The 27,148-nt window shown below is 44.7% G+C and overlaps 1 protein-coding gene across 22 annotated transcripts in view, besides 1 other annotated feature; it reads right to left on the bottom strand.

Annotated features, from left to right (window-relative positions):
• The window catches only part of NTM (neurotrimin), a 966,208-nt gene that overhangs the window by 733,118 nt on the left and 205,942 nt on the right, over positions 1-27,148 (bottom strand). The window contains exon 1 of one of the 22 annotated variants that reach the window (NR_170358.1): positions 17,988-18,143. The exons of the other annotated variants lie outside the window; for them this stretch is intronic. The gene's annotated coding sequence lies outside the window, so the exon portion shown is untranslated. Of the gene's footprint in view, positions 1-17,987; positions 18,144-27,148 lie in introns of those variants that run through there. 22 annotated transcript variants of the gene reach the window in all.
• Positions 18,593-19,390: an enhancer, noted in NCBI's record as "H3K4me1 hESC enhancer chr11:131454209-131455006 (GRCh37/hg19 assembly coordinates)". NCBI's record gives its function as "activates a minimal SCP1, AML or CMV promoter by ChIP-STARR-seq in primed H9 embryonic stem cells {active_cell/tissue: H9 hESC(primed)}" and the evidence as "EXISTENCE:reporter gene assay evidence [ECO:0000049][PMID:30033119]".

The raw sequence follows: 27,148 nt of genomic DNA, 5'->3' as shown, positions 1-27,148 counted from the left end.
CTGAGTGTACGGGACAATGTCAAGAGTGCTTGTTAATGGGCACATAATTTCCTCGTGGGGTCTTGAAAATGTTTTAGAATTAACTGTGGTTATAGGTGCACAACTCTGTCAATATACTAAACACCAATACATTTCACAATTTAAGCTTGTGAATTGCAAGTTGTGTGAATTATATCTCAATCAAGCTGATTTTTTAAAATGAGGAGGAAGTAGCCAAGCAATAAATCTGGGATGGCAGTAACGGAAGCCACGCTACTCAAACTATAGTCCATGGACCAACAGTGTTAGCATCACTTGAGAGCTTATTAGGAATGCAAATTTTGGCCCATACCCTAAATCTGTGGAATGGTATTTTTCATATTAATAAGATTCCCAGTTATTCATATGCACATTATAATTGAGAAGCACTGGCCCAAGCAGAGAGAGGATAAAGTCAAGACTCTGAAGTGGGTATGTTGGAGGGATGGAGAGGACCCACGTGGTTTAGCATGAATAAAATGATAAATGGCACCGAGTTAGTGGGGAGAGGCAAGCATGGGACACAGGTGCAGGGCTTAGGGTCTAGGGAATGAAGTTTGGATTTTATTGCAATGGAGGAAGATTAAAAGGATCGAGCAAAGGAGTGACACTATCACAATTGCTGCTGTATGGAATATTAATTGAGCCAGATCAAGAGTAGAAGTTGAAAGACTGGTTAGTTGCTGGATAGAAATACATTTGTGTCTTGAACTAAGATGGCAGTAGTGGAGATGAAGAGGAAAGTTTGATTACAAGACATATTTTGCAGGTAGAATTGACAGGACTTGCTGACAATTAAATATAGGTGGTAAGTGAAAGAAAAGCTTCAGGGATGACTCTTGGGCATTTAGCATGAGCTCTTGAGTCAATGGCGGTTCATTTACTGACATAGGGACAATCGATGGGGACAGATATATAGCATCACATAAAAAGGGAGCTCAATTTGGAGAATGTTAAGTTTGAGCTTTCTGAAAGGTGTCCAAGTGGAGATGTCAAGTAGACAGATGGATGTGTGAGTCTAGAACTCAGAGATGTTTGGGCTGAAGATATAAATTTGAGAGTCATTAACATAAAGATGCCATTTAAATGAGATCACCTAGGGAGAGTGTAGAGAATCTGAAGCAATTTTAAAATGCCAAAGAGGGATGTTAGTTTCACTATCTGATTGTCAAGCCAGGAAAACACTGGGAACTCTATGGGGAGTGAATATTAAGTACAACCAGTCTTCTGGGAACTTGGAATCAAAAGGAAGCATTGAGGAGACCGACTTTTTGAGAAGGATATTTTCGACTTATTTAATAAGTGGTAAGATACTGGTATTAACCACCCAGACCAGGCTCTGAACACCGCACTGCATGGCGATGGAAACCCCTGTCCTTACTAACACAGTTTAGGAGAATAGTTGAATCAAGAAAATGTTGGAGATAGGTGGGTTTAAGGTAACAGAACAGCAAAGGCCATTCAGGGAATTTTGGCAGGATCTATTCACCAACCCAAATGAACTATTTCAGTATTTCAGCAGCTGAGGCACCATCCTGGTACAGCCTGCCTGAGTAGCAATCTGCCATCCATACAGGGATGAAATAAGTACTTTTAATTAATAAACTGGCCTAAAAAATAAACTAGAGAGATATTTAGTTTCTTTTTAAACCTAATTCATAATTTTTACTAGTAAAAAATCTGTTTGTGCCCCCAATATAACTCTTATTTCCTGTGTTTTGAACCATATGGCACCCTGTTTAGGTGCCTGTTGCTTCATCAGAGAGAACAAGGAGTATGTCTTGCTCATGATCCATATTCAGACAGTGCTCACTCCAGTATTCTAGAATAAATGCAACACATGTGCAGTTCTCAGTAAATGTTTGTTGAATAAATGGATAAATATATGATGACTAAATAAACAGGAGTAAAAATGAGGACAGAAAAGCCATTCTCTCTCATCCCAATGAGTCAGACACAGGCCACAATTCAATTTGAGAAACTTGTAGTCAGAAGGGAACTTCTGTATCATTAAATGCATTGGTTTTCATACTGTGCTCCAGGAATCCCTGTGGAATCAGAACTACAGGCTTCCTGGGGCTGCCTTAAAAAAAAAAAAGGAGAGGGAAGGGGGTTTGAGGTGGGAGCATTTTAGTCCCTAATCCCTCTTCAACTAGAGAAACAATTTTATCTGCGTCCAAATGAGATTTCATTAAAACAAATGATTTAATTATTCAAAAGTGTCTTAAACAAAATGTTTAAAACTATGATGTGATGTAAATTGCTCTATTTTTGTCATTAAAACCCAAAGAGGTTTTGTTCATTATTAAAATGCAGAGAGACCCAGAGAGGTCAGATGACTCTGCCAAACTTATGCAGTTAGTAGGGAAGAGACTGGGACTGTGATGGTGCTCTGGTCCATCATGCTCCTTCTGCCTCAGTTCCTACACCACCTGCTGGGGTGACCTCGCTGCCACCACTGTCCATCTGTATGCTCCCCGAAAGACCATCAGACCACAGAGCTGTCCAAGCCAAATCAGAGGTTGAGGTTGAAAGGGCGTGGCCCACCCCTCTCAGATCCCATCCTGCCTCCTGGCCCTTACCCAACTTATAGGAGAATTTGAATACTGAGCAAGGCATGGAGAGGTGCCCCATCCCAAACTCCAAACCTGAATCTATTCAGAATCCAGCTCCGAGCAGTACTGGGCATATGATCTTCAAGCTGAGGAGATGCATTTTGCCAAGAAGCAGATGGGCAAATCAGATGATCCCTGATCCTGACTCAATTCATTATTCAGAAATAGGAACTGTTTCTCATTAGACCTCAAAAGTAACTCCTGGTTTCATATGGAAAAAAAAAAAGTGAATGTTTATACAGAAGAGTAGTGACACGTAAGGCTTGGCAGGGATTATGGGCCTCTTACACTGAGGCTTTGCTTCTTGTTGTGTCTGGACAGGCAAACCTATCTCCCATTCTGCCTTCCTGCAGCCCATAAGTACCTCCTGGCCAGCGGTCAGGTTCCTTTCTTGGCAGTGGACCTGCTAAACGTAGGCAGGATATTTACATTCCCCATTATATGTTTTAAAATTTCTTTGGCAGAGGAACGGTAAATGCAAAGCAATAGCATGGCTGGGAGGCAGGGGCCATAATTAAAATCCCCTTTTTGTTTTTTAAAAGGCTTATTAAAATGCTTGTGAAACCTGCTGCACAAAGCAGCAGCCAAAAGCCCATTGCTGCTAAATGGAATGAAATGGATTTTCCAAATGTCATGCTAGTATCCACTTAATAATACATTTTCCTATAGACAGGACAATAATATATATTTTAATCACTTTTCTACAGGCAAATAGACTGCACAGGAGCTGCCCTTCACTGGCACTTGGAAATTATGAATTTTTCAATAACCTTTTCTATTATTCATCCTGTGTTATTCCGTAACATTTCTGCATGAGGAATGTGCTTCCCAGACACTTTATGAATCTCTTCTATTATTTATTAAACAGCAAGGTGTCTCCCTACAACCCTCACCCCAGATCCCCAGAGAGGGCTGCTGGGAGGAGGGTCCGAACATGCACAGCTACATCCCAGTTATTAATAATTTCATATCTATAACAGAAGCCGATTGAGCAAGTTCCTCCACGTGGCTCAACTTCAGACCCCAGAGGTGAGCCGCCTCGGAGAGGTGATGTGTACTCTTTTGGAGAAGGCAAGGAAAACAATCAGCCTAAGGTAGTCTCTGTTTATAACAATTGTTGTCTACTCCTTAACTGTCCTTACTCCAGAAGGGAGTCACCCGCAGGGTCTAACTCTGCCCAGGGAGGCAGGATTCCTGACTTGCATTTTCTGCTACAGATCTAGGTCTGACTGGGAGAAATCCCCAACCATTCTTCATGGGTCAGCTGCAGACTTGACTTCTCTGGGAAGCCTTTCCTGACATACTCCAGGCACTTAAACTTTTTCTGTGCTTCTGGGGTGCCCTGTCCCTTGCCTATCACAGCATCTGTCACATGACAATATTTCATTGTTGTGAGCCATAAGAGGGAGGGGCAGGTTCTCTCCTGCTCACCATTATGACCTCAATGACTGGAAGTATATTTAGCACAGAGGTATTCAATAATTATTTAGAATGAATGAATGGATACATAAATAATATGGCCAATAAAATGTTTCTCTCTAAAGCAGCTGTTAACAGGGTCTAAAAGGTGCTGAGATCGATGTGGCAGAGCCGTTTACTGCTCATCAAATATCCATGCACTCCGACAGATTCTCCCTTCCGTCCCCTTGAGGTTATATAGGGTTATACAGGGCCATGTGACTAGCTCTGCCGGAGACTGGGTAGACAGGGCATCTGCCGGAGACTGGGTAGACAGGGCATCTGCCGGAGACTGGGTAGACAGGGCATCTGCCGGAGACTGGGTAGACAGGGCATCTGCTGGAGACTGGGTAGACAGGGCATGGCACACTCGGGCCGATGCATCAAAATGAGAAAACAGGCCAGGTGCGGTGGCTCAAGCCTGTAATCCCAGAACTTTGGGAGGCTGAGGTGGGTGCATCACCTGAGGTCAGGAGTTCAAGACCAGCCTGGCCAACAAGGTGAAACCCCATCTCTACTACAAATACAAAAACTAGCCAGGCGTGGTGGCACACGCCTGTAATCCCAGCTACTAGGGGAGGCTGAGGCAAGAGAGTTGCTTGAACCTGGGAGGCAGAGGTTGAAGTGAGCTGAGATTGTGCCATTGCACTCTACCTGGGTGACAAGAGCGAGACTCTGTCTGAAAGGAAAGAAGGAAGGAAGGAAGGAAGGAAGGAAGGAAGGAAGGAAGGAAGGAAGAAGGAAGGAAGGAAGGAAGGAAGGAAGAAAGAAAGAAAGAAAGAAAGAAGAAAGAAAGAAAGAAGAAAGAAAGAAAAAGAAAGAAAGAAAGAAGAAAGAAAGAAAGAAAAAAAGAAAGAAGAAAGAAAGAAAGAAAGAAAGAAAGAAAGAAAGAAAGAAAGAAAGAAAGAAAGAAAGAAAGAAAGAAAGAAAACAAATGAGAAGAGAGTAGTAGTTCTCTTTGCTGCTGTAGTGCTGGTGGAAGCCAGTGTTCGGATGGTGCAGCTTTTGAGGTGGTGGAGTTCCCATCAGCCTGGGACCCCAGTGACTAATGGAGGGGGGAGCTCTCCGCCCCGAGTGCACACATGTGACACACACAGTGACCTGTGCTCCCTCTGTGCAGTGTGGGAGCAATAGACCTTTGTTTTGTTAAAGCCACACAGAATCCTGACTAACAGAATCTACATAACAAGGACAGTGTAGAAAGACAAGCGTGTAGTACAAGGGATTTGTTGTTGTTACCTTGTTTTGTTTATCATTTCCAAACCCTTCCACTTGGGAACACGGAAATTTACCAGAACATTACCATCTGGCACCACAACTAGAAGATAAAACAGTTCTGGAAAAGTTTCTGAAATTCTGAAAATGTGACCCAGCCTTAATATTCCCTTGAGGCATCTCTTGCAAAAGTGATTTTCAGGGGGAATTCTCCCACCTCTGATAAACTGTGAGTTGTGTCCCCATACACTGGTGTCTGCTCCCTTGTATCCTCCCCTTCCAGCCTGGAAAGGGCAGGGTCTGAGCTCAGTCCCCAGGGGACCCCTTGCCCTGCTCCTCCATGGAGCCTGAAGGAGCAGAGCCAATTGGATCCCAGCGTAAGGGCTGGAGGCCTGTGGCTCCTGTCCCTGGGGCCTGGGCCACTCAGACTGGCCACGTTTCCAGTTTTGTGGCTGGTCTCTCTTTGGGATTTTCTAATGGGCTATGGACTCCTGATGGACTTCTTTTCACCCTGGGCAAAAAGGACTCTGTTGAATTCTTCTGGGTGAACTTTTCCTAAAGCTAATAAGGCTTAACAAAGATAATAAAGATAACAAGGAGCTGCTTGGTGCTGGGAGATGTGCACTCCCTTGATCCACAGACCGACGGTAGGAAATTGAAGATTTTAATTGAATGTTCTCTCCATTTGCTTTTGCCTCCCCCTCACTCTGGGGCACCTGAAAAGGGGTGATTTCTGTGGAGACACTGAGCACAAAGCTCAGGGACAGGACCATTGCCCTCAAAGGTCCCTCCTTCCCAGGGGTAAGGGTAGAGGGCAGTGCAGTGCAGCAGAAATAGGAACAGGAACTTGCGCGCCTTAGGCCTTGATATGTCCGGGTAGGATAAAAGAGGACCTTGGCCCAGAATGCGGAATCTGAAGTGGACAGGGGAGGTGGGAAGCTGGAATTGTGTTTCCCAGCTGGAATTTGCTGAGTGCAGCCTCTGCAGGTGCTTCCCCGCCAAAGTGGTGGGGAAAGCAGCGCAAGTGGAGGCAGGGTGAGGGGGAAAGGGGAGGAGAGACAGAGAGAGACAGAGAGACAGAAGCAGACACAAAGGGGTAGACAGAGGAAGACAGAGCAAGTGCCACAGACAGCTTGAACCTCCCACGTGGCATTAAAGGGGCCCCTAAGTTTCCTAAGGGCCCAACCTGAGTGTGATGGTTAACGCTGAGTGTCAACTTGATTGGATTAAAGGATACAAAGTATTGATCCTGGGTGTGTGTGTGAGGGCGTTGCCAAAGGAGATTAACATTTGAGTCAGTGGGCTGGGAAAGGCAGACCCTCCCTTAATCTGGATGGGCACCATCTAATCAGCTGCCAGCAAAGCTAGAATACAAGCAGGCAGGAAAATGTGAAAAGAGATCCTGATAGCCTCCCAGCCTCCATCTTTCTCCTGTGCTGGATGCTTCCTGCCCTGGAACATCAGACCCAAGTTCTTCAGTTTTGGAGCTTGGCCTGGCTCTCTTTGCTCCTCAGCCTGCAGATGGCCTATTGTGGGACCTTGTGATCGTGTGAGTTAATACTTAATAAACTCATATACGTATATATATTCCATTAGTTCTGTCCCTCTAGAGAACCCTGACTAATACACTGAGTATCACATTAACTGGGAGAATCAGTCTGAGTTCCAGCCCCAGGGATGTCTGTTGGAGTACAGGGCTCCAGACAGGGACACGGGTAGAAGACCTTCGAGGGCTTGGGCCTCCATGGTGTCCTTAGACATGCTTTCTGCTCCCGCAGATTTACCCGAACCCTAAATGAATGCTGTCCCCACTGCCTGCCTAGCTCAGCAGAAAGGAAGGCTAGAGAGGGGATGGCATGAGGAGGTCGGCAGAGGAGGAAAACCCAGATGGAGTATGTCAGGGGTCTGCAGACCATGGGCCTTGGGCCAGATTCCGCCGGCCACCTGCTTTTGTAAATGACATTTGACTGGAGCACAGCCACTGCCATTTGTTTACCTACGATGCCGTGATGCCAGAGTCTGGTATTTGCAGTGGAGACCTTATGGTCCCCAAAGCCTAAAATATTCACTGTCTCACTCTTTACTAAATATATTTGCTGATCCCTAGACTCTCACTTAAATAATAATCTTGAATTTGACAACAAAAGGAAGACAGACATTAGATCGAACTGAAGATACTAGAAGGCATCCAGATCAAGGTTTCCTATCATCAAGGGGGAATGAAAAGTCAGGTCAACAGCACCTCGGAGTTTAATAGAATGTCTTCCAGCTAAATACCGTGAGGTAGGTTCAGCCACAAGGGAGGTATTAGCTTCATGTTACAAACAAGAAAAACACTGTCCCGGTCACACTGTTAGCAAATGTTGATGAGGACTCAGGGCATTCTTCCAGCCTGCCATGCAGATGGTGACTGCAATAGGACCTAGCTCCTAAACAAAGCATGTCAATCAATCCAGGCATGGGCTCCCGTATTTTATGTCCTGTTGACAAGAACCCCTGGCTTCTTTCTACTGCTTTTTGTTCAACAGAAGTAAACCATTCTCTGTCTAGCTGTCCCTGAATCTGCTCTGAAGTATTTAAGGTTTGCTTTTGAGGTCTTCCTGGGCTACTCTTGCCTTCCTGCAAATCCCTCTAATTTTCCAAAGTCCTCAGTAGTTCCCAATAGGAGGCACAGAAGCTTGATATGCCTTCACTGTCAGCCCAAAACCTTCATCTGTACACAGCCCATCCCAGAGGTTTGTGAAGAGTCCGTTCCGGCAAATACAAGCTTCCTTTCTTTCATCTCAGGCAAGCCTTCTCCACAGTCAGCAGCTCTCTAAATATCATTTATTTATGTGTGTTTTAGAATAAGGGGGAAACACAATTGCTTGGGATGGAGATGTCATTTGCAAAATAATAGTTTCTCAGCTGATGAGAGGCAAACCTCCACCAGGAGTCAGTCCTTCTAAATGACACATCTTTCTTCACTATTTAGCTTGTGAGGACACATAAGCTGAGCACTTGCAGTAATTTCAGGGTCTTTTTTCCCCTCCGTGTGAACTGCTCAGCCCTCTTGAATGTACAGTCTTTATTCCTAATTGGATCTCATCAAAGCTTTCTGTTGCCTTCAGCTGGTGGAGGCGCATGGTGATGTGGAGGGAGGGTAGAGACACCAGCAGGTGATTCACTGGTGGACCACGCCTAGGATTTTGCTGTGGCTGGATGAGCCCTAGACAGAGCAGCAAGCCCCATGCTGAGACTCAGCTACAGCCATCCCACCTCCTTCAAGTCACTGCCTTTCCTCCCCAAATGGCAAAACAGCTATGATGTGGAATTCCCCCTTAATTAAAGACGCAGGTGCATTAGACACTGGGCTAAGCATTCTGCATACATTATATGACTTAAGCCAACAAAATATTATGAAGCAGATGGATCTTTAGACCAGTTTTATAAGTAAGAGAACAGAGCCCAGAGAGATTGAGCAAGTGGCTTAAAGACACATGGCTACTGAGTGGCTGAGTAGGGATGTGAGGAAGAGAGGAGAAATTACTGCAATATTTAGAGTACATGGCGCCCTACTCTCCTGTCCTCCCTGTCAACTTCTCTAGGTCTCAATGCAGGTGAACAAGCCAGAGCTCATTTCCTTCCTTCTACCTCCCTGCAAGATGTTGCAATATTTTCATCAGAAGGAGAATTGTTACCAATATTAAATTAGTAAACTTTCAGGCATGGTGGCTCATGCCTATAAATCCCAGCACTCTGGGAGGCTGAGGTAAGAGGACGGCTTGAGCCCCGTAGTTGGAGAACAGCCTGGGCAATATAGTAAGACCCCATCTCAAGAATTTTTTTTTTTTTAATTTAGCTGGGCGCGGTGGTCTGCACTGTAGTCACAGCTACTTGGGAGGCTGAGGTGGGAGAATCACTTGAGCTTGGGAGGCGGAGGTTGCAGTGAGCTGAAATCTCACCACTGCATTCCAGCCTGGGTGACAGAGCAAGACCCTGTCTTAAAAAAAATTGGTAAACTTTCCTTTTGTTATAAATGTAATATGAGAATGTTACATAAGATTTTGGGGGAAAGGAGCTAAAGAGAACCAACTCCTAATATACTCAACTAATGCAAGCACTCAGTTCTTGGTACAGGACAGTTGTATTGGATTTCAAAAAATCTACAGGACTTAGCATAAATTCTTTCCCAGGTCCTCCCCAGTGCCAAATTATTACAAATGACAAATGAATTAGACCTATTAGTGTGTATTACTTTCCTTGAATCCAATTGTCATGAGATACATACTGAGTTTTCCTGACTTCTAACTTTGTCTAGAACAACCATCCTTATGCATTTAGAGGCAAACAATCATCCATGTTCCTCAGAAACAAGACTATATAAGGCTGGTGCACAGAATTTAGCAATCTCTGGGCAGCAACCTGACCAAATATTGCCTCTGAATGCATTCATCCTAACAAATCCATGTAAAAGATCCACTGGGCACCATGCAGGCACCACAAGGGGGAAATAAAATGAAATACAGGCCTTGCTTTCAGAGTGCTTACAGTCTAGTAGCAGACAGAAGACAGACAAACAGATAATCATAAAGCAACCTGCCAAGTGCAGAAACTGATATGTCCAGAGACACAGACAAACATGATCCTCGTGAGGCCACAGAATGTGGCGCAAAAGAAAATACAACAAAATACAAGAGGTTTTAGAACTAGATTGAGTGAATTTTAAATCTCAGCTTTGCCCACGTACTATCAGCTGAATGACCTTTGACTAGGTACTTGGGTTCAGTTTTCTCATCTATGAAGCAGAGGTGATAACGGCTTTTACAAAGCTCTAATGGGGAATAAATGGGGTAACGTGTCATCCACTTAGAACAGTGCATGCTATGGCAGGGGGGCGGGGCAGGGGAGCCTTTACACTTGGCTTGTTTGAGATCCACAGGCAGAGTTGCCTTGAGCCCATGGACCCTGGTGAGGCTCAGTCCCCTGCCTGACACGATGGGTTGGGAAGTCCCAGCCAGCAGCCTGTCTCCAGAAGATGCTCGTACCCCACCTGCTGAGAGCTAAGCCAGGCAATTGCTCCCTCACTTGTTGAAAGACAACTGTAGCAGGGAAGGCAATTCTCCCTGTAATCTCCAGACATCCTGAAGCAAAATCCAAACTGAAAGAGGAGACCTAGCAATTAGAGGAACTAATGGCACTGGGGAAGGAGAGGTGTAGGGATGGGTGGGGGCTGCAGGAGGGACAGGACTGCTCTTTGCCTATTTCATCTATTGAGTGGAGAGGGAGAGAATGAGAAATAAATAATAGTTTGCTTTTTGCTGCATGTTGGAGCACATTTCCTGCCAATAGTACCACTCACAAGGGCAACTGCTTGACACTTAGGCAAGGGAGTGTGCAGGGAGAACAGGACAAGAGAAAATTACAAATGACAGCATAGCCTGTGTCTGCAATTACAATGCATTGTAAACAAGGAGAACTGCAATTCCAGCTGCCAGACGTGGCCGGAGATTGGCAGGGAAGGGCAGCATCAGAGATGATGGCAGGCTGCTGCACATCTGCTCTGAGCCCAGCATTGTGGGGAGGCAGGGGCCAGGGAGAGGGGACCTGGGGGACTGCAGCTTGGGGAGTGTGGCAGGCCAGGGCTGGCAAGGAGACCAGGTAGAGAGAGGGAGCAAGCAGTGGTGGGGAAGGAGGAGGAAACAGCCCCTAAAGGTCAACTTTGAACTATGGTGTGTGTGTGTGTGTGTGTGTGTGTGTGTGTGTGTGTGTTTGGGGTGTGTGTGTGTATTTGTGTTGGGGAGGTGAATAGGAGAGAGGAAATTTCAGGTCGTGGTTGTTTGGCTTTCATCACTACTGCAGGACAAAAGAAACTAGCTTTTTTTTTTTTTTTTTGAAAGACCTATTATATGCCAAGCTTTGTAAGGCATTTTAAATATGTTATTTGAATGATCTGTACCAGAATCATTCAAGCACTGCCCTGTTTACTAAACAAGTCATTACTGAGCATGTGTGATTTCCAGGCCCTGGGCTAGACTTCGTGGATCTTAGGTTAAAAGGCTATAGCTGCTGCTCAAAGCCATTTTGCAGACGAGGACATTGAGTCTCAGAGAGGTGAAGTTACATGCTCAAAGCTTCTCAGTTAGTAGCAGTGTGAGGACTCCAGTCTAGGCCTGAAGGCCCAGCATGCTCTACCACATTTTTTAGCAGAGCCCAGTAATTCTGCCTCCCATAGTCAGAGCTGTTCCTCTGATCCTTTGACAAATACTAAGTTAAATAGGATTAAGTGGGGTGAGTGCGTAGTGGATGCCCAATAAAAATAGTTTCCTACCCCTCATCACTGACTTAACCATTGACTTAACCTGTTATGAGGAACATCATTATCCAACCAGGGGCAAAAGTGCTCTATTTGTATAAAGGGAGGAAAAGAAGAGGTGACTGATTTCCAGCAGGTGAGGCTGTGGGATGGGCTTCCAACAACTGAGTAGTTCTTACCCAGAGCATAACACAAGAACTGTTTCTCTAATAAAATCAGAAACGAAGGGAGGTTTACCTTGCAGCAGGAGGAATTCAGGTTAGACACAGGGAAGTGCATTTCAGCTGTGAATGAACTGCCCCCTTCCCATTCATGCTGGTGCCTGCTGCTGGGCACATTAGCGCTCTGGGTATTTTCCCAGTGGCTGTGATGAGCAGGGCTGAGCCATCCACACTCTCAAGCTTCCTCCATGTGACTGACAGAACCTATCTACCTGGTGAAAGACACACTGAAGGCAACAGAGTTGGGGTTTTCTTTATCAGTGACCCTTTCGGGGAGCAAATCTCAAGCCTTGGCTCATTTGAGCTGGGAACTACCCAGCTCAGCTCACCAGTAGATAGTCTTGTTAGGCAGGGAATCCATGCATCTCCGTGCAGGGTTGTCAGATGGGACGAATCTCAGCAGGCTGGGTCCTAAACCCAGTGGGGAGCCAGGGTGTGCCCCCCTTCCATCTCCCCCAGCTCAGCTCCATGGACTGTCAGCAGCAGATAGACCAAGCAGGCCCACGGGAGGCTTCGTCCCTCCCCAGCAGGGCCTCTGAGCACAGCACAGCTTGTCTCTGCGGGAAGTCATTTGTTACAGATCTGGGCCCCCCAGGAGGGCCCCCCTTTCCCCAGGGACCTTTCAGTGCTGGCTGAGCCTTCTGGTTCTGCGATGAGTGAGTGACATGGGGAAGATGAGAGCAGCGAGCAGAGAACCCTGCGGTGGGGGCTGGGAGGAGGTGAGGAATTTGAGTCTTAACAGCTGAGCTGGCAAGAAATTTCCCTAAGAAGTTGAAGCTCTGGCTGAATCAGTGCTGCTGACTCTCCCAGAATGGATGCACTGAAACTACGCCCAAGGATTTCATTTGGTTCATCCAGCCTGCTTGCTGCTCCTGTCACCTCAGGTTACCCGGAGCCCTTCTCCTGGGAGTGCAGTCCTGTCTCCAGCCCACCTCACTTCAGGGCCACTGAGCACTGCCCAAATGATGACTGGGTATCCACTCGCATGCTATCCCTTTGGAGTTGTGTGGGGACAGCAAAGTTCAGTAATTAAGAGCATTGGATTTGGGGCCAGACCTGGGTTAAACCTTACATCGGCCATTTATACAGTACAGCTTGGACAAGTCCCATAAGTTCTCTTAGGAAGCCCGTTACCTCACCTACAAGATGGAGAAAAGAGCCTTCACATCAATTGCCATGCAGATGAGTTTTAATAGTATTCTAAAGCCCTTACACAGTGTCTGGCCGTGAGCAAGCATTCAAAGAAGGAATGTTGTTGTTATAATAACTTGTAAATGCTGCCAGTGGCCTGATATTGGGACATTAAGAAGCCATCCAATTGTCCTCTTGTCGTGCAGGGGACACCTGGCTTGGCACTTTGCTTGGACACCAGAGACCAGTCCAGTGCACTTCCTCTGGCCCTATCTCTGGGATCTGCTTTGCACTGTTTTCTGCCCCTGTTCTTAAACTCTGAGGCTGTTACTTTGGGCTTCCAGCATGTCGCTTGGTTCTTCTCCTCTGGTATCAACCTGTTTGCTGTTTTCAGTCTAATGAACACTCAGCTCTTGGGCAAACCCACTCACTTCTGGGTGCTTCAGGTATCTCTGCTCCCACCTGCTCCCCCACCATGGGAATTGAATGATGACACAAGCCCCCAGGGTCATCACTGCTGTCAGACAGTCCTGGTTCTAAAAAACAGAAAGGACACAGATGACTTTTGACTGGGGAGGGGACAGAGGTTCTCCCTGTCTCCATGAGAATGAGCCTCCCAGTAGCAGCAAGGTCGAGGGCTGGGTGCAGGGAAGAGATTGATCAAAATAGACTGAAAGACAAATTACATCCACAGATTATCCTGGGAGTCATTTTTCCAGCCTTGGAGTGAGAACGTTCCAGTTCCTTGGTGAATATCTGCATTTAGGAGGATCCTGGCATGTGGCTGGGGAAGAGCGTATCCCTTGCTGCTTTGTTGGGTTTTAGCGCAGAAGAAATATTCTTTGCTACTTTCTGAAATGTACTACTTATATGGGGATCGAGCCCTCCACTCTGTATTACCTGATATAAGCCTCACACCTCCAGCTAAGGGACACCAGGTGAGGCACAATAAGTGCCCTGGAAACTTTGCTTTCATCTCCTCAGCAGTGAGGCCAGGCAGTGACCTGGTGTCACATGTGTGTGCGCATGTGTGTATGTGTGGATGCAGGAACATTTTTCAACAAAAGTGACGAGGAAGGGGTGGGATGGTGTCTCTCTGCCATGTACACATCACCTTCAAACCTAGGACATGAAAGGCATAAGATACAAAAAAACAAATAATGATTTGGGGTTAAATAAGCCAGAGGGGAGAAAAACACTTTGGTTTCATCATCATGTGTAAGAAAGAAGAGGACAGGGTTGTTTTGCCTCTGCAGAAGCTCCTGTGGGAAGCCCTGGACTGCAGTTTCTGGATGGAGAATGGATGTGTAGTCAGCTTTTAATTACAGCACTAATTGAGGGGGATGGCAGTGTGAAAAATCCAGAATGCTAGTGCTGGGAGGACTTTAGGAGAGTCTCCAATCCCATCACTTTATAATGAAGAATGTGTGTCCCAGGGAAGAGAAAAAAGCCCTGCTTAAATTCATGTGTATTATTAATGGTAAGATATTTACAAGAAACTGGGTCTTCTGACTTCTAGCCTCGTGCCTTCCCACTACAACCAGAGCCTACACACACACACACACACACACACACACACACACATTTTTCCAGGTTAAGAGTGGCATGGTTTCCTGTATAACTGCTGTGTTAATCTCACTTAAATACTAATTTATCATGCCACCTGTCTTCTCACAAACCTTAGTGTCCACCCACAACCTACAGGACGAAGACCAACCTCTCCCCTAGCATGCTCAGGCATGAGTCCTCTGCAGCGTGAGGCTCCACTACTCTCCCATATAAACCCTCCACTTTCACATTGCATGAGCCACACCTGTTAATGCCATTTCTCTTTCTTTCTCTTGTTCAAAACCCAAATCACAGCACATGAGCTCACAGTGAGTTCTCTCAGAATCATCAAGCAGTTAATGTCTTTACCCCATTTAACAATAAGTACACATTGCCCAGAGTTAATATTTACATGTAATGTCTTCATAAGCAGATGGAGACCTTGTCTGACGTAGTTTTCTATACCCAACTAGCCTGATGCCATTCCCCATAGTAGGTTGATTACAAGTGTTAAAAATTTGATGATGTTCAGTAAAATTATAGCAGGACTAAATAATTATTCCAGGCTTTTTCTTTTGATTGTCTGTTTTGGTTCTAGGTAGACTCAAGTTACCAAGATGGCAAATCCCTCTGGCTATCACTGGTTTTTGTGTCCTTGCCCTACCCAGATCCAGCATCTATAAAATATAGCAAAAGGTAAATATCCCCATTCCTTAATTCAAATTTGCTTCATAACCATGGCACACTAGTACTGACTTAAACTACATTGCCAAGAAAATTTACAGTAGTGGTCAAGAGAAAGGATTTTTGTTTCAGGCCATCTTGGAAATAATGTGATGTCACTTTCAAAATTAAGTTATACAAAGCCTGTGGCTTTGCTCTGGGGCAAGCTCTCACTGTCTCTTGGGTTGCTCACTGGGGGTGGCCAGCTGCCATGTTGTGAGGAAGCCCTGTGCAGACGCCTGCTTGGCAAGGGACCAAAACCTGCCAACAGTCATTTGAGTGAGCTTGCAGCAGATCTCTCATTGTGTCTTAACCCTTTTATTTGCTAATTGTGGCTGGGAGTTAACAATAATCTGTGCCTCGGTTTCTTCATCTGTGAAATGGGGACGCTTTTAGTAACCACCTCATATGGTGATGTAAAATTAAAGGAGACAATACATGACAATCATTTAGAACAGTGCCTGGCACATAGCAAGCATTCCACACATGCTTTATTACTAGTTGTCTTTCTGTGACCTTGGCTTACTTGATGCTCAGCTATGGGTCACTCTTCCTCATCAGCCTCATCCTAAAGATGATGATTTGGTTTTTCTCTCTCTCACTTTGTATTCCACCAGCCCTGAACTTGTTTTGATCTCTGACCACCTCTTCTTTCATGCTGTCAACTACTGTAATTCTCTCTGTGCTGGCCCCTGTCTTACTTACTTCCTCCAGTTGTTTCTGATGCACAGTCATGAAAGAATAGAGTCCTGGACTGGGTGCAGTGGAGCATTTAAGATACAATTCCACTCATGCAGGTGTGTGTTATGACTGGTGAAATAAGCTTTGCCTATATAGGATAAAATTAAAAAATATATAATATAGTATCAATTTCATTCTACATCTATATTATTCATCAATTTTTCAATTAGCCAATATTTGTGAGTTCTAAAATGGGATTGTATTTAATAATTTGAATTTGTCTGAAATGGTAAGGCAGAATAATTTGTGGTCAAGAGTATGGACTTCGAAGTAAGGCCTATTTTTTTTTTTTTGGACAGAGTCTCGCTCCGTCTCCCAGGCTAGAGTGCAGTGGTGCGATCTCTGCTCACTGCAAGCTCCACCTCCTGGGTTCATGCCATTCTCCTGCCTCAGCCTCCCGAGTAGCTAGGACTATAGGCACCTGCCACCATGCCTGGCTAATGTTTTGTATTTTCAGTAGAGATGGGGTTTCACCACGTTATCCAGGATGGTCTCGATCTCCTGACCTCGTGATCTGCCCACCTCAGCCTATCAAAGCTATACAACATTGGGAAATGTAATTAAACTTTCTGTGCCTTAGCTACCTTATCTGTAAAATGGAGATAATAACAGAACTCACTCCAGAGCATGAATGGGTAAATAAAATGAGATAATACAATGCAAGTCACGTGGAGTAATGACTGGGTGTAGTTAGTACTGGTTAGTGTCCTTCTCTTTTCTGAGTACTTCTGCTTGCTCCGTAGCCTCCCAATTGAGCATCACTTATTTTTTAAGTTAACTAAAATTAATTTGATATAGTAGATTGCCTGATACCTCTTTCAATAGCTGAAGTTGCTCTAGGTTCAGAAACGGTTAGTGTGAGATAAGTGATATAGATTGTTCTTTCCAAAGAGTTGAAAACACTTAAAAAGCAGTCTCTTCATGCTGAAGCTTGTCCATTTTCTTTTTGAAAACCTACCGTCTTTTTCTTTAAAGCACCTTAAGAGGAGAAAAGAGTCTTATAGAAAACCCATTGTATTAATTATCTGTTGCTGTGTAACAAACAAAGCAGCCTAAAACAACAAACTGTTATTATCTCACAGTTTCTGGGGTCAAAAATCTGGAAAGAGCTTTGCTGGGTACCTCTGGCTCAGGGTTCCTCCTAAGGTTACAGTCAGTCTGTGGGCCAGAGCTGTGGTCTCATCTAAAGTCTTGCCTAGGAGGAGGAGCAGATCTGCCTCAAGCTCACTCATATGACCATTAACAGGTTAGGGGTCTCTGCACAGGGCTTCCTCACAACATGGCAGCTGGCTCCCTGGGTGAGTAATCCCAGAGGGAGTGAGAGAGCTTGCCCAAGAGGAAATCCATGGGCTTTTTGTAACTTAATTGTGGAAGTGGCATCCCATCACTACGGCTGTATTCTATTTGTAAGAATAATAGAATAAGCATAACCCATACTCAAGGAGGAGAGGATCACATGAGGCTACATAGTAAGACTTTGTCTCTGCATGCCTGTGGTCCCAGCTACTTGGGAGGCTGAGATGGGAGGATTGCTTGAGCCTGGGAGGTTGAGGCTTCAATGAACTGTGATTGCACCACTGCACTCTAGCCTGGGTGACAGAGAGAGAACCTGTATCCAAAAAAAAAGGAAAAACTAAAATATTGTTTTAAAAGGCTAACACACTCATACACACACACGAGATTACCTATGACAGTGTGTAATTTCACTGAACTTTTAGAGACCAGTTACGACAGGTAAGTTTCTGTGCTCAACAGTTGTAAACACAATCCCATTTAGTTAGCAGAGAGAACTTGTGGGGATGGAAGCCTTGAGTTAGGTTCTGGCAAATTGGTGAGAATCTGCGTGGGCAGGGAGAAGAAAGGAAAGATGGTAAGGAAAAACACTAGCAAATCAACATGGCCTGGAGCCACAGTGGGAAAAAGGAAAGGACACAAAGAGAAAATGAGCTGAAACAGAGAAGCAAAAAATAGGACAAACCACACACTACAACCATTTGGGGCAGGCAAGATTTTTACACTTACTTCTATCTCGGTGTTTTGATGAAATGCCCTACATAGAGGCATGAAATGAGATAGAGAAGGAGGATGTAAACTCCATGGCCTTTCAAACTCTACTCGACTCTGGGCATCAGTGATTCTGCATCAGATGGTGCCCCGGCGAGAGTAGCCACCGTCTGCACTCACAACTGTGCTTGCTAGGTGGTCACACAACATGGTGGTGTTGGCTTGGGCGCCCTCTGCGGGCAGAGAGGAGGAGTTCAGTCCTGCTGGGGGGTCCCCTCTACCCTCCTTTCCTGCAGGAACCAAGCCCCAAAGGAGGGCCTGAGGAGTGTCTCCCATGGTGAACTTCCTCCCACCAAACCCGGACTTGTCAATCGCAATCAGCCGCCAGCGTGGGTTCCCCCAGCCAGGCCAGCTGGCAGGAAGGCTGCCAAGGCAGCAGATCTGACGAAAGAATTCTCAATCACATTTACATGTGCATGGTGCAAAAAGGGAAAGGAAGGGGGGAAAAACCCCTCCGGAATCCAAAAAGAAAGTCACTAACTAATTCACACAAAAAAAGAATCAGCCACAGATTTGTCTCAGATGTTCTCAAATTGCTGTCCTTAAAAGCTCTGCTTCCCCGTCTTCCTCCTCCTCCCATCCGTCCAATAGCCCAAAGAAAGTCTCTAATTTTGCCTTAATTTGTGCCTTGGTTGCAAGAACAAAACAGAACGTCACTGCAGCTTCCCCCCCACTGCACCCCCCTTGGCCTCTCAGCAGCTGCGCTTCTTCAATGGCCTGATAGAGTCCTTTCTCCACCATCGTTCCCTATTCTTTGCCAAGCGGATCCTGGCAGCACCAGGCCCGATGCAGCACTGAGAGGGGGAGGCCCGGAGAGGGCCAGCCTCCGTCCCATCAGACATCAAAGGGTCACATGGATCCCAGCTCGCCCTCGGCCTCTCGGCGAACCAGAGACTGCAGGCTGTGGGCACTGAAGGGCAAAGAGTGAAATGGCTCCGTCCAGGGTGATTGACACAGGCTGTAATCTCACAAAATTGCAGATATCTTGGGCATCTTGCCGAAACCCCAGGGGTAGTAACAAATTTGGGTATTTACATCATTTTTCAAATAAAAAATAAACAAATACACGCTCGTTACTTCCTCCCAATTGAATCCTTTTGGAATATCAGATGACAGATTGTTTCTCTGTTGACTACTAATGGGACCCAGCGTTTTATTCTCACATATAGTCCCGGCTTGAACCAGAGGAGCCCTCACTTAAAATTCTCACTTCCCACACTCCAGGGAGGCTCATTTAACTCCCCTCTCATGGCCTCCGCCCCTGCCTCCACCAAGAAGGAGAGTTCTGAGGCGCTTCTAATTAATCTTCGTAAATTGCTCTGCGATCCTGGGATATAAAGGCAAAGTATTATTAGAAAATGCTGGCTGGGTTAGTAGCCGGCCATAAAAGTCGGATGCTGATCAGCTCACTTTTCACACTGCAATTATTGGGAATGGTTGCAAGTGGTTTTATGCGATGGGGACGTCGTAAGTCCTTAGGAAAAGCACAGGGCAGGGACTGAGAGACACTCACTCATGGCTGGTGTCAGCAAAGAGGGTTGTCAGCCAGTTAACCTCTGAGCTTTTTGCCTGTAGTAGTCCTAGTGTATTGGGATCCCAGGAAGATGCCAGCACGTCTCTTTTTTCTACTGTTCAGCATTCATAAAACATCACTTGTAGCTAAAATGGACTCAAAAGCAAGCAGTTCCCATCTTGTTAGACAGGAGGAGAGAGCTTCATTCTAACAGTGCCTAGCTGCAGATCCTTGGGACAGTGACTATCTGATTTAAGGGGTCCATTGATAGTGGACTCATATCCATGAAGGTACTTCTCAGGGGTTCATCTATGGGTTTCATACAAATCCAAGAATAGAAGAAATCCATAAGAAATTTAGAATAAATACTCCTTGGTTCCTTGGCCCCAGTTTGTGATTTATTGCTAGTCCATTCGCAGGGATTAAACTAAAGAGTCCTGCCTCCAATTCGTTGTGTGATGTGAGGCAGGATTCAGCCTCCCTCTCCCTTTGAGTCACCATCTGTGTTTAGCAGATATTAATCCGCACCTCCTAGGATATTTGGTGGAATAACTAATTAATGTTTAAAGAATGCTCTTTGAACACAAAAAAGCACAGTGTCTGAAGGTAAGGCGCGATTACTCTTCTGAATTGCACACTTGCCAGGGTGATTTTTCTGGAGGCATATGACCTTCAGAAGAAAAATACCCAATTACAGCAGTTTGTTTATGATTTCATGTTAAAACATTGTTAACACAGACATTTTCTCTTAATATTTTATGAAGAAGATATCTTAGACAGATTTAATATTTTAATATCTATTTGCCACAAGAGCTAAAGAACTAGATAATGAAATGTGTGCAGTATATTGGGGAGGTGGATGGGGAAGGTACTGCTATGAGGCTACGGATTTCTCTGAAATGAGTGAAAAATTCAAGGTGCAGAGAGGCTTCTCTACTCTCTAGGGCCAGCAGGCTGGTATTCAGCTTAGGGACCTGAATCCAATTGGAAGAACATGGAACATAATCTGCTCTGTTGGTACTGAGGACTCAGAGGCAGCTTCCTGGTACAGTGTCCCCAGCACTGTGGAAATAGGTTAGTGATGCATTTGGATCATCAAAGAGAGCCAGGGAGACGCTACCCGTGTGTGAAAAGAGGAACATCTAGAAGATCCAAGCAGCATTCGGAGCCATCGTCCTACAGAAATCCCTTCTATTTGATTTCCTGAAAACCTCAGTTAAAAGAAAGTACAGGCCATGAAGCCACAGGCTGGATAGAGAGGGATGGCAGACAGAGCGGGATTCCGTGGGACTCACAGTGCCCAGCTCTGCTGCGATGGCATTACCCCAAACGCCAGTAAATCTCAGAAGGGGCTGGGTTTTTTTGGTGGGGGAAGGGGGCGTGGGGGTTGTTGTTTGTCTAACAGAAAAGTAATGGACGTGGGGAATGTGACATTGACAATTATTGAGCATTAACTTTGTTAAGTATTGCGTGTTAACTATGCACCACAAATTGTCCTGAGTGTTTTGAAGGCATCCATTGATTTCTCCTCTTGCCGATGCAGGAGTAAATAATATTTTTTTTTTTTAAGCAAGAACATGGAGACTCATCTAGAGTTAAAAAAAATTAACAAAGCAAAACAAACATAAAAACTAATAAGTGGTAAGTCTTGGATTTAAAATGCAGGCAGTTTAACTCCAAAGCATAGTTTAACTACTAAGTTAACTTTAGCATATATTACTTAAATTTGGAAGCGCGGCAACTGCTATGGGTCTAAAAAAAGATGAAGGGATTCATTTACATACAGTTAGCTTTCTGGAAGGGGGAGGGCCCAGCTGACGAGCAGGAAGAGCTGGACTTTTTTTCCTCACGTTTCTCACATGCCGCTTGGTGCCAGTCGGCGTAGATTCGAGTCCATATTTTCCCTTTCAAGGCTATTCTTGATGTTCATTTAAAACAGATTTCACTAGTATAGGAAACTCCATCGAAGTATAGCTTTGAAAGCAGCAGCCCGTTCTGCATTTTAGAGGCTGGGAGCAGAACTCGTCTGGGTAAAGCTGGCTCCCAGGGGCAGGGAAGGTGGGAGTCGGGTGGGTGAGGACTGGTGGGCTTCTTGATCTGCAGAGTGAAGGCTGAGAGCCCCTCTAGAAGGGGATTTTGAGATCATCAGGATGAAAAAGCTCTGCATAGTCATGGCAAAGCCTGTTCCTCTGTGAGCAGGGCACCCTCTCTGGGAAATTAGAACTATTAGGAAAGCCAGTTTGTTTCCCTTGAGAAGAGGGGGGAGAGTGAGGGGCAGTCTCGGGCCCTGGAATTGGAAGAATCAGGGCACCAGCAGAGTGTGGATGTCAGGGAAAGGCTGCAAGTGCTGGGTTTCATAAGTGAAGTCGGAAATCTCTTATTAAACAAAGTGCATGGGAGGCCATTTTAGGGGATCAGTCTCCTGCCCTGGGCCCAGGCAGAACAGACCAAAACCAGAACGGAGTCACTTGTGTTAAGTGTTCAGTAATCAAACCAAACTTTGAAATGGACCAGTTTTCCAAAAAGCAGGCAATTCTGGTCAGCCAGAGTCAGAATAACGAGGAAGTCCCCTTGTCTGAACTCTATAAAGTACCCCTTAAAAAGGCCAATTTGCTTTTTGTTCTCTGTTTCTGCTTTCCTCAGCCCTTTTTTGCCTATAAAGCCAACACCCTCAGCTCATAGGAACACTCATTTTATTTTACCGATCCTAAAATCAAAAGTAAAATCCAAATGGAGCTTTCAACTAAATTCGTTGTAATTTCGTCATCTGACTCTGTTAGACTTCCTCCCTCTCCTTGAAGCAACTCTCCTCTGTTACCGCTCAATCTTCAGTAATATCTTGTGGTCCATGCCTCCCTGGGGACCGAGGAAAAGAACAGTATCTACACATTTGGAGAGCAAGAGGAAAATAGAGGTGGAAGGCTAGTCAGGAGCCAGGAAGACTGCCAGCAACCCGCAAGAGCAGTGGGCTCCGCCCACCAAGGGGAAAAGAGCTCTTCTGTCTCTCTGAGTTGTAAGGAGAAGCCATGACCAAGAAGACTTGAAAAAGTTGTTTTATTCCAGAATAAAAAAAATACTCTCTCTGAAGATGAGTGTGGCAAACCCCATACCCCACACCCTTTTAGCAATAACCCAGGGCCTCATAATTCCCTAAAATTTTATTGCTTCCTGCCTCCAAGCTCTTTTGTTGTCTACTGACCAAGCATAGCTCTTACTTTTGACCTTTTGGTGGCCACTGTGACTTCCATGAGAGAGAACTTTTGCGACTTCCCCTGCGACTGTGGTTCCTGGGATCCGTGCATGACAGCTACAAGAACCCAAACACAGTGGGACTAAAAAAGATTCTTTTTTCATCTCTACAAGGAGAGCAATCTTATGAATGGGACAAGCATGATGCAAGGGAATACGAAGAAATGCTAACTTACATTCCTGATTTCAGACATCAGAAAAGGAAGTCTACCACCCACTGTCGGCTTTGAGATCAGGGGCAACCAGAAAGGTCAGTTCAATTATAGACTACTCCTTCTCAACTCCCATCCCCTCCCATTAGCTCTCTCCATCTGTCAGGTCACTTTGCCAATAGGAGACAGTTCTGTGGGTTCTCAGCCCTACGGAATAGCCCTGGCCTACCCTAAATCCTGGAGAGTGTGTGCCTTAACCTTTGTTCTCTCTCTCTCTCCCTCACAGATCCCATTTTCCTGTGTCTCTAGCATGATCTATAGCTGCCCTCAGAGGGCAGGTGTGGCAGGTGGTGGGAGAGGGCCAAATCGCTGTCAGTGGCCTCACAGTACTGATGTGTAATCACAACTCAGCCATATACCGTAATGTGGCTATAAAGATCTCAGAACCACAGTATATGAGAGTTATGCCTGAAATGAAGTCCAATCTGTGATAAAGCAGCCAGCATTAATGCCACAAATATGTGACAGTGGGCAGAGAAATGACTGATTGGGGATGTTTATAAATATAGGAAGTGAGCTGCTTGTGGCATCCAATAGAGGGGGTTAGCAAAATGAAGACAGATGGCGGCCGATGAGCTCTCGGATTCCTTTATGGCTGCCAATCCACACAGATAGCCCCACTGCTCAACCTCATCACGCAGCCCTCCCTGCAGGCTCTCTGGGTACATTATAGGCCATCTCCACCTCCTGGCTCGGCAGAGAACTACAGCTTGCTTCCCAGGAATGACTGCGAAGATGGCAGAGAAAAATGTTGCTCAGGGCAGCCATTCTAAATATGGCATTGATGCATGCCAAAATCATGGGGCTCACTCAACTGTCTCATAGTAGTTTTTATAGAAATATAGAATGCCATGTTGGGGAAAGGTTTTCAACATTTCCATCTAACCCATTCAAGCAATGCTGGAATACTCCTGAGCACATTTTCCCAGCCGTGGGAGGTATGCCCTTCCCCAGGTGAAGCCCTGCATCTCTGCCCTTGCATTGACTTTGGATGTAAAAGTTCTCTTCCTGGAGCTTCCATTCTCTGGTCCTTGGCAGCAAAATGAGCAAGGATCAACCACTCTTCCTTCAGAAGATAGCCTTGCAAATACTGTAAGAGGTCTTCCTCCCATGCATGGACGTGGCTTTGGTTCCCCCACAGGGACATTAAAAGCTCTATTTTGTTTGCTCACATATTATGGGGTCCTGTAATATTATCCTCCAGGCCGACGTGGGGCCTCTCAAACCTTTTAAAAATGGGATGCAATGATTAGACAGTACTCTAGGGGACTGCCTGACTGGTTTACAGTAATGCAGAACTCTTGAATATTTTGTTTTATATACTATAAAAGGGAGAGGGAACCTCACTCTTGTAACTTGTGGGAAACTTACAATCAGCAAAACAGATAGTTTATATTTCTGTTTTTGTTTTGCTTTGTTTTGTTTTCTCTCTGTCTTCTTTTGCTGCCCTGCTATGACTAAGCTCTGCTTCTCCAATCTGTGAGGCTCTTCCTAGTTTCCAGCCTCTGTTTCCCATTGCTCCTCAGAGCAGGGTCCATGTGACCCTACAGCAGTCTCCACCCTGATTTTGCCTCTGTAATCAATCCTGATCTCAAACACAAGAGATTTAAAGAACAGCAGCCCAACACCTCAAGCTCCCCATCAATTGTTAGCTGGACTCAGACCTTGCATTTCTTTTGATTGCCTAAATTCTATTTTAGTCCCCAAGTCCGGTTTCCTCCATGTTATGCAGTTCTGATTCCTGGCTTTCTGTCTTTTTCCTGTGACTATCTTGCTAAGCTTCCAGGCCTTGTGAACCTCCTGCATGGGATACTCTGCTTGAACCTTATCAGCCTTTCTTCACAAGAAGTAATGTATCTCATTCCTCCTCCTCAATCAGGCTGTGTACTTAGTGAAAAACTGTCAAAATAATAAATACTACATAAGCATAAGGGAACTGGATCCTCACCATCACCCTATGAGGGAGATAGTTACAAATATAGTCCATAGATGCAGATATTGAGACACAGAGAAGTTAAGTAACTTGCATAAGGGTTCACAGCTGGGAAGTAACAAAGCCAATTTTGAATTTCATATAGTTTGAGTCTAGAGCCTATGCCCTTAAAAGCCATACTCTCTGGCCTCATGATGAATATATTCAGAAAGAATGAATGAAAGAGTTATTTTATGTATGTAGCTCCCCTGTCTCTGTTCTCACTGGAATACTTACCCACTCTGACCCACCCCACTTCCCTGCAGCTCTCCCCTGTGGTATCCACCTTGTCCCTAAATGCACTGGCCTTTTTTCTCTATCCCATTATCTACTGCTCAAATCTACCTGAAAGACTCTTTCAAAGAGCCTCTACTTCCTGCCGTTAGATAGATCATAACTGAATCTGACATCAGATATGACATAAACCTATATTTGAATAATTTGCTTGGGGGACCTAATTATAAAATATTGCATTTTTTCCCTGTGAAATTCCATTATCTTAGATATGGCCCATTCTGTCAGCCTGACAAGATCTTTCTGGATTCGATCACCTGATAAATTTGCTTTTCCTCCCAATTTCATGTCATGCACAAATTTGATAAGTGTCATCTCTATGTCTTCATCCAACTTGCTGATGGAGATATTTAATGATACAGGACACAGCCAGTGTCCTAGGTGTCCTAGCAGCCTGCCGCTTGACATTGATCAGTTAGTTGTTCAGTACCTGTTAGCTATAGTTGTTCATCTACTTACTAATACACTTAATTTTACTGGTATTCAGTGTAAACTTCTTTGTCATTGCAATAAAGCTATTACAAAAGGCTTTGTAAAATGCCTTCCTGAAATACCAATTCACTACATTTCCCTGGAGAATACTGTCAAAGTAGGAAATGAGGTTTGTCTGACATGACTTAATCTTAATAAATCTAAGACAGTAGGAAATCACTATTAATCCATACTGCACACTGTAAGAGTCTGAAGAAAATTCCATGGCTTTAGAGCATTGGTTTTGAAGCTGCATCCTGCAGAGACTTAGATTTCCTTAGAGGTACTGCAGACACCACCGCGGGATATGAAGGAGAAACAGAGCAGGCACAACTCTAGCCACTTTCGTTCCAAGAAATGTTACTATTTTATATATTATAATAATGTCCTATTTTAGATCCTTCTTGAAAAAGTGAAATGCAAAATACAATTTGAAAACTACTGCTTTAGAGGAAGGAAGCAATCTGCCTGTCTGGAGTTGTATTTGATTGTGCTATATTGACTGGTTCTTGGGACACTCACTTTGTTAATAAAATCAAGACACCATTATCCACATTTGCTCTGTGCCTCACAGAAGTGCTATAAGAGTTGATAGATAGCCTCAGGACAGAGCGACTAAGTAAGTCCATTACTGAAATGCACACATCTAAATGCCCCAAAGAATCCTTGTCATTTTTTTCAAGCTATCTGCTCAGAGGATGTTTTCCCCATCCTCAAATATTTATTGATGCCTTCTAGCTACAAGGTATGTTCAAATACATGATTTCTTCAACCTTCACAACAGTGTTAATGAGGGAAATGCAATTATTCCTGTTTACCAATGAGGAAACTGATGCTAAAAGGAGGTTAAATAAATTGGCTGTGATCACACAGCCAGTAATCAGAAGAGCCAAAATTCAAACTCAAGTTTTATTGACCCCAAAGTCCTTGAAATGTGCCTGTATACCACATGACTTTATCTTAGTATCCATGTATTGAGAGGTAATATTTTTGAGTATTTACAATGGGCTAGGCACAGTGCTAAACATTTGCAAAGATTAACTTATTTAATCTTGCAATAACCATATCATTGGTGATATTATTGCACCACATTTTGTGGAAAAAAATTAAGAAGTTCCTCAGGGTCACACAGTAAGAAACTGACAGAGCCAAGATTCAATCCAGGTAGTCAGACTCCAGAAACTTTGCCATTAATGATTATGTTATTATTTACGTCAGGGATCATCTTATTATCAAATTTGATGCAGGCAGATGCCCTTTGGCCATTCTTGGAAGGGTCTTGGAAACTATTCTCATGAGCTCTCCTATGTGAATCTACCATTAGAGATTATATTTTTCTTTTGAGTTAGGCATTTTCTTATGTTTACATGGAGGCAGTCTTTGCCAGTCGTTGAAGGGTTGGTGTGAA

Source organism: Homo sapiens, chromosome 11, assembly GCF_000001405.40.
Source record: "Homo sapiens chromosome 11, GRCh38.p14 Primary Assembly".
In the NCBI taxonomy this organism is placed as follows: Eukaryota; Metazoa; Chordata; class Mammalia; order Primates; family Hominidae; genus Homo; species Homo sapiens.
The sequence above is the reverse complement of the archived record's forward strand: the minus strand, read 5'-3'. Positions and strand labels throughout refer to the sequence as shown.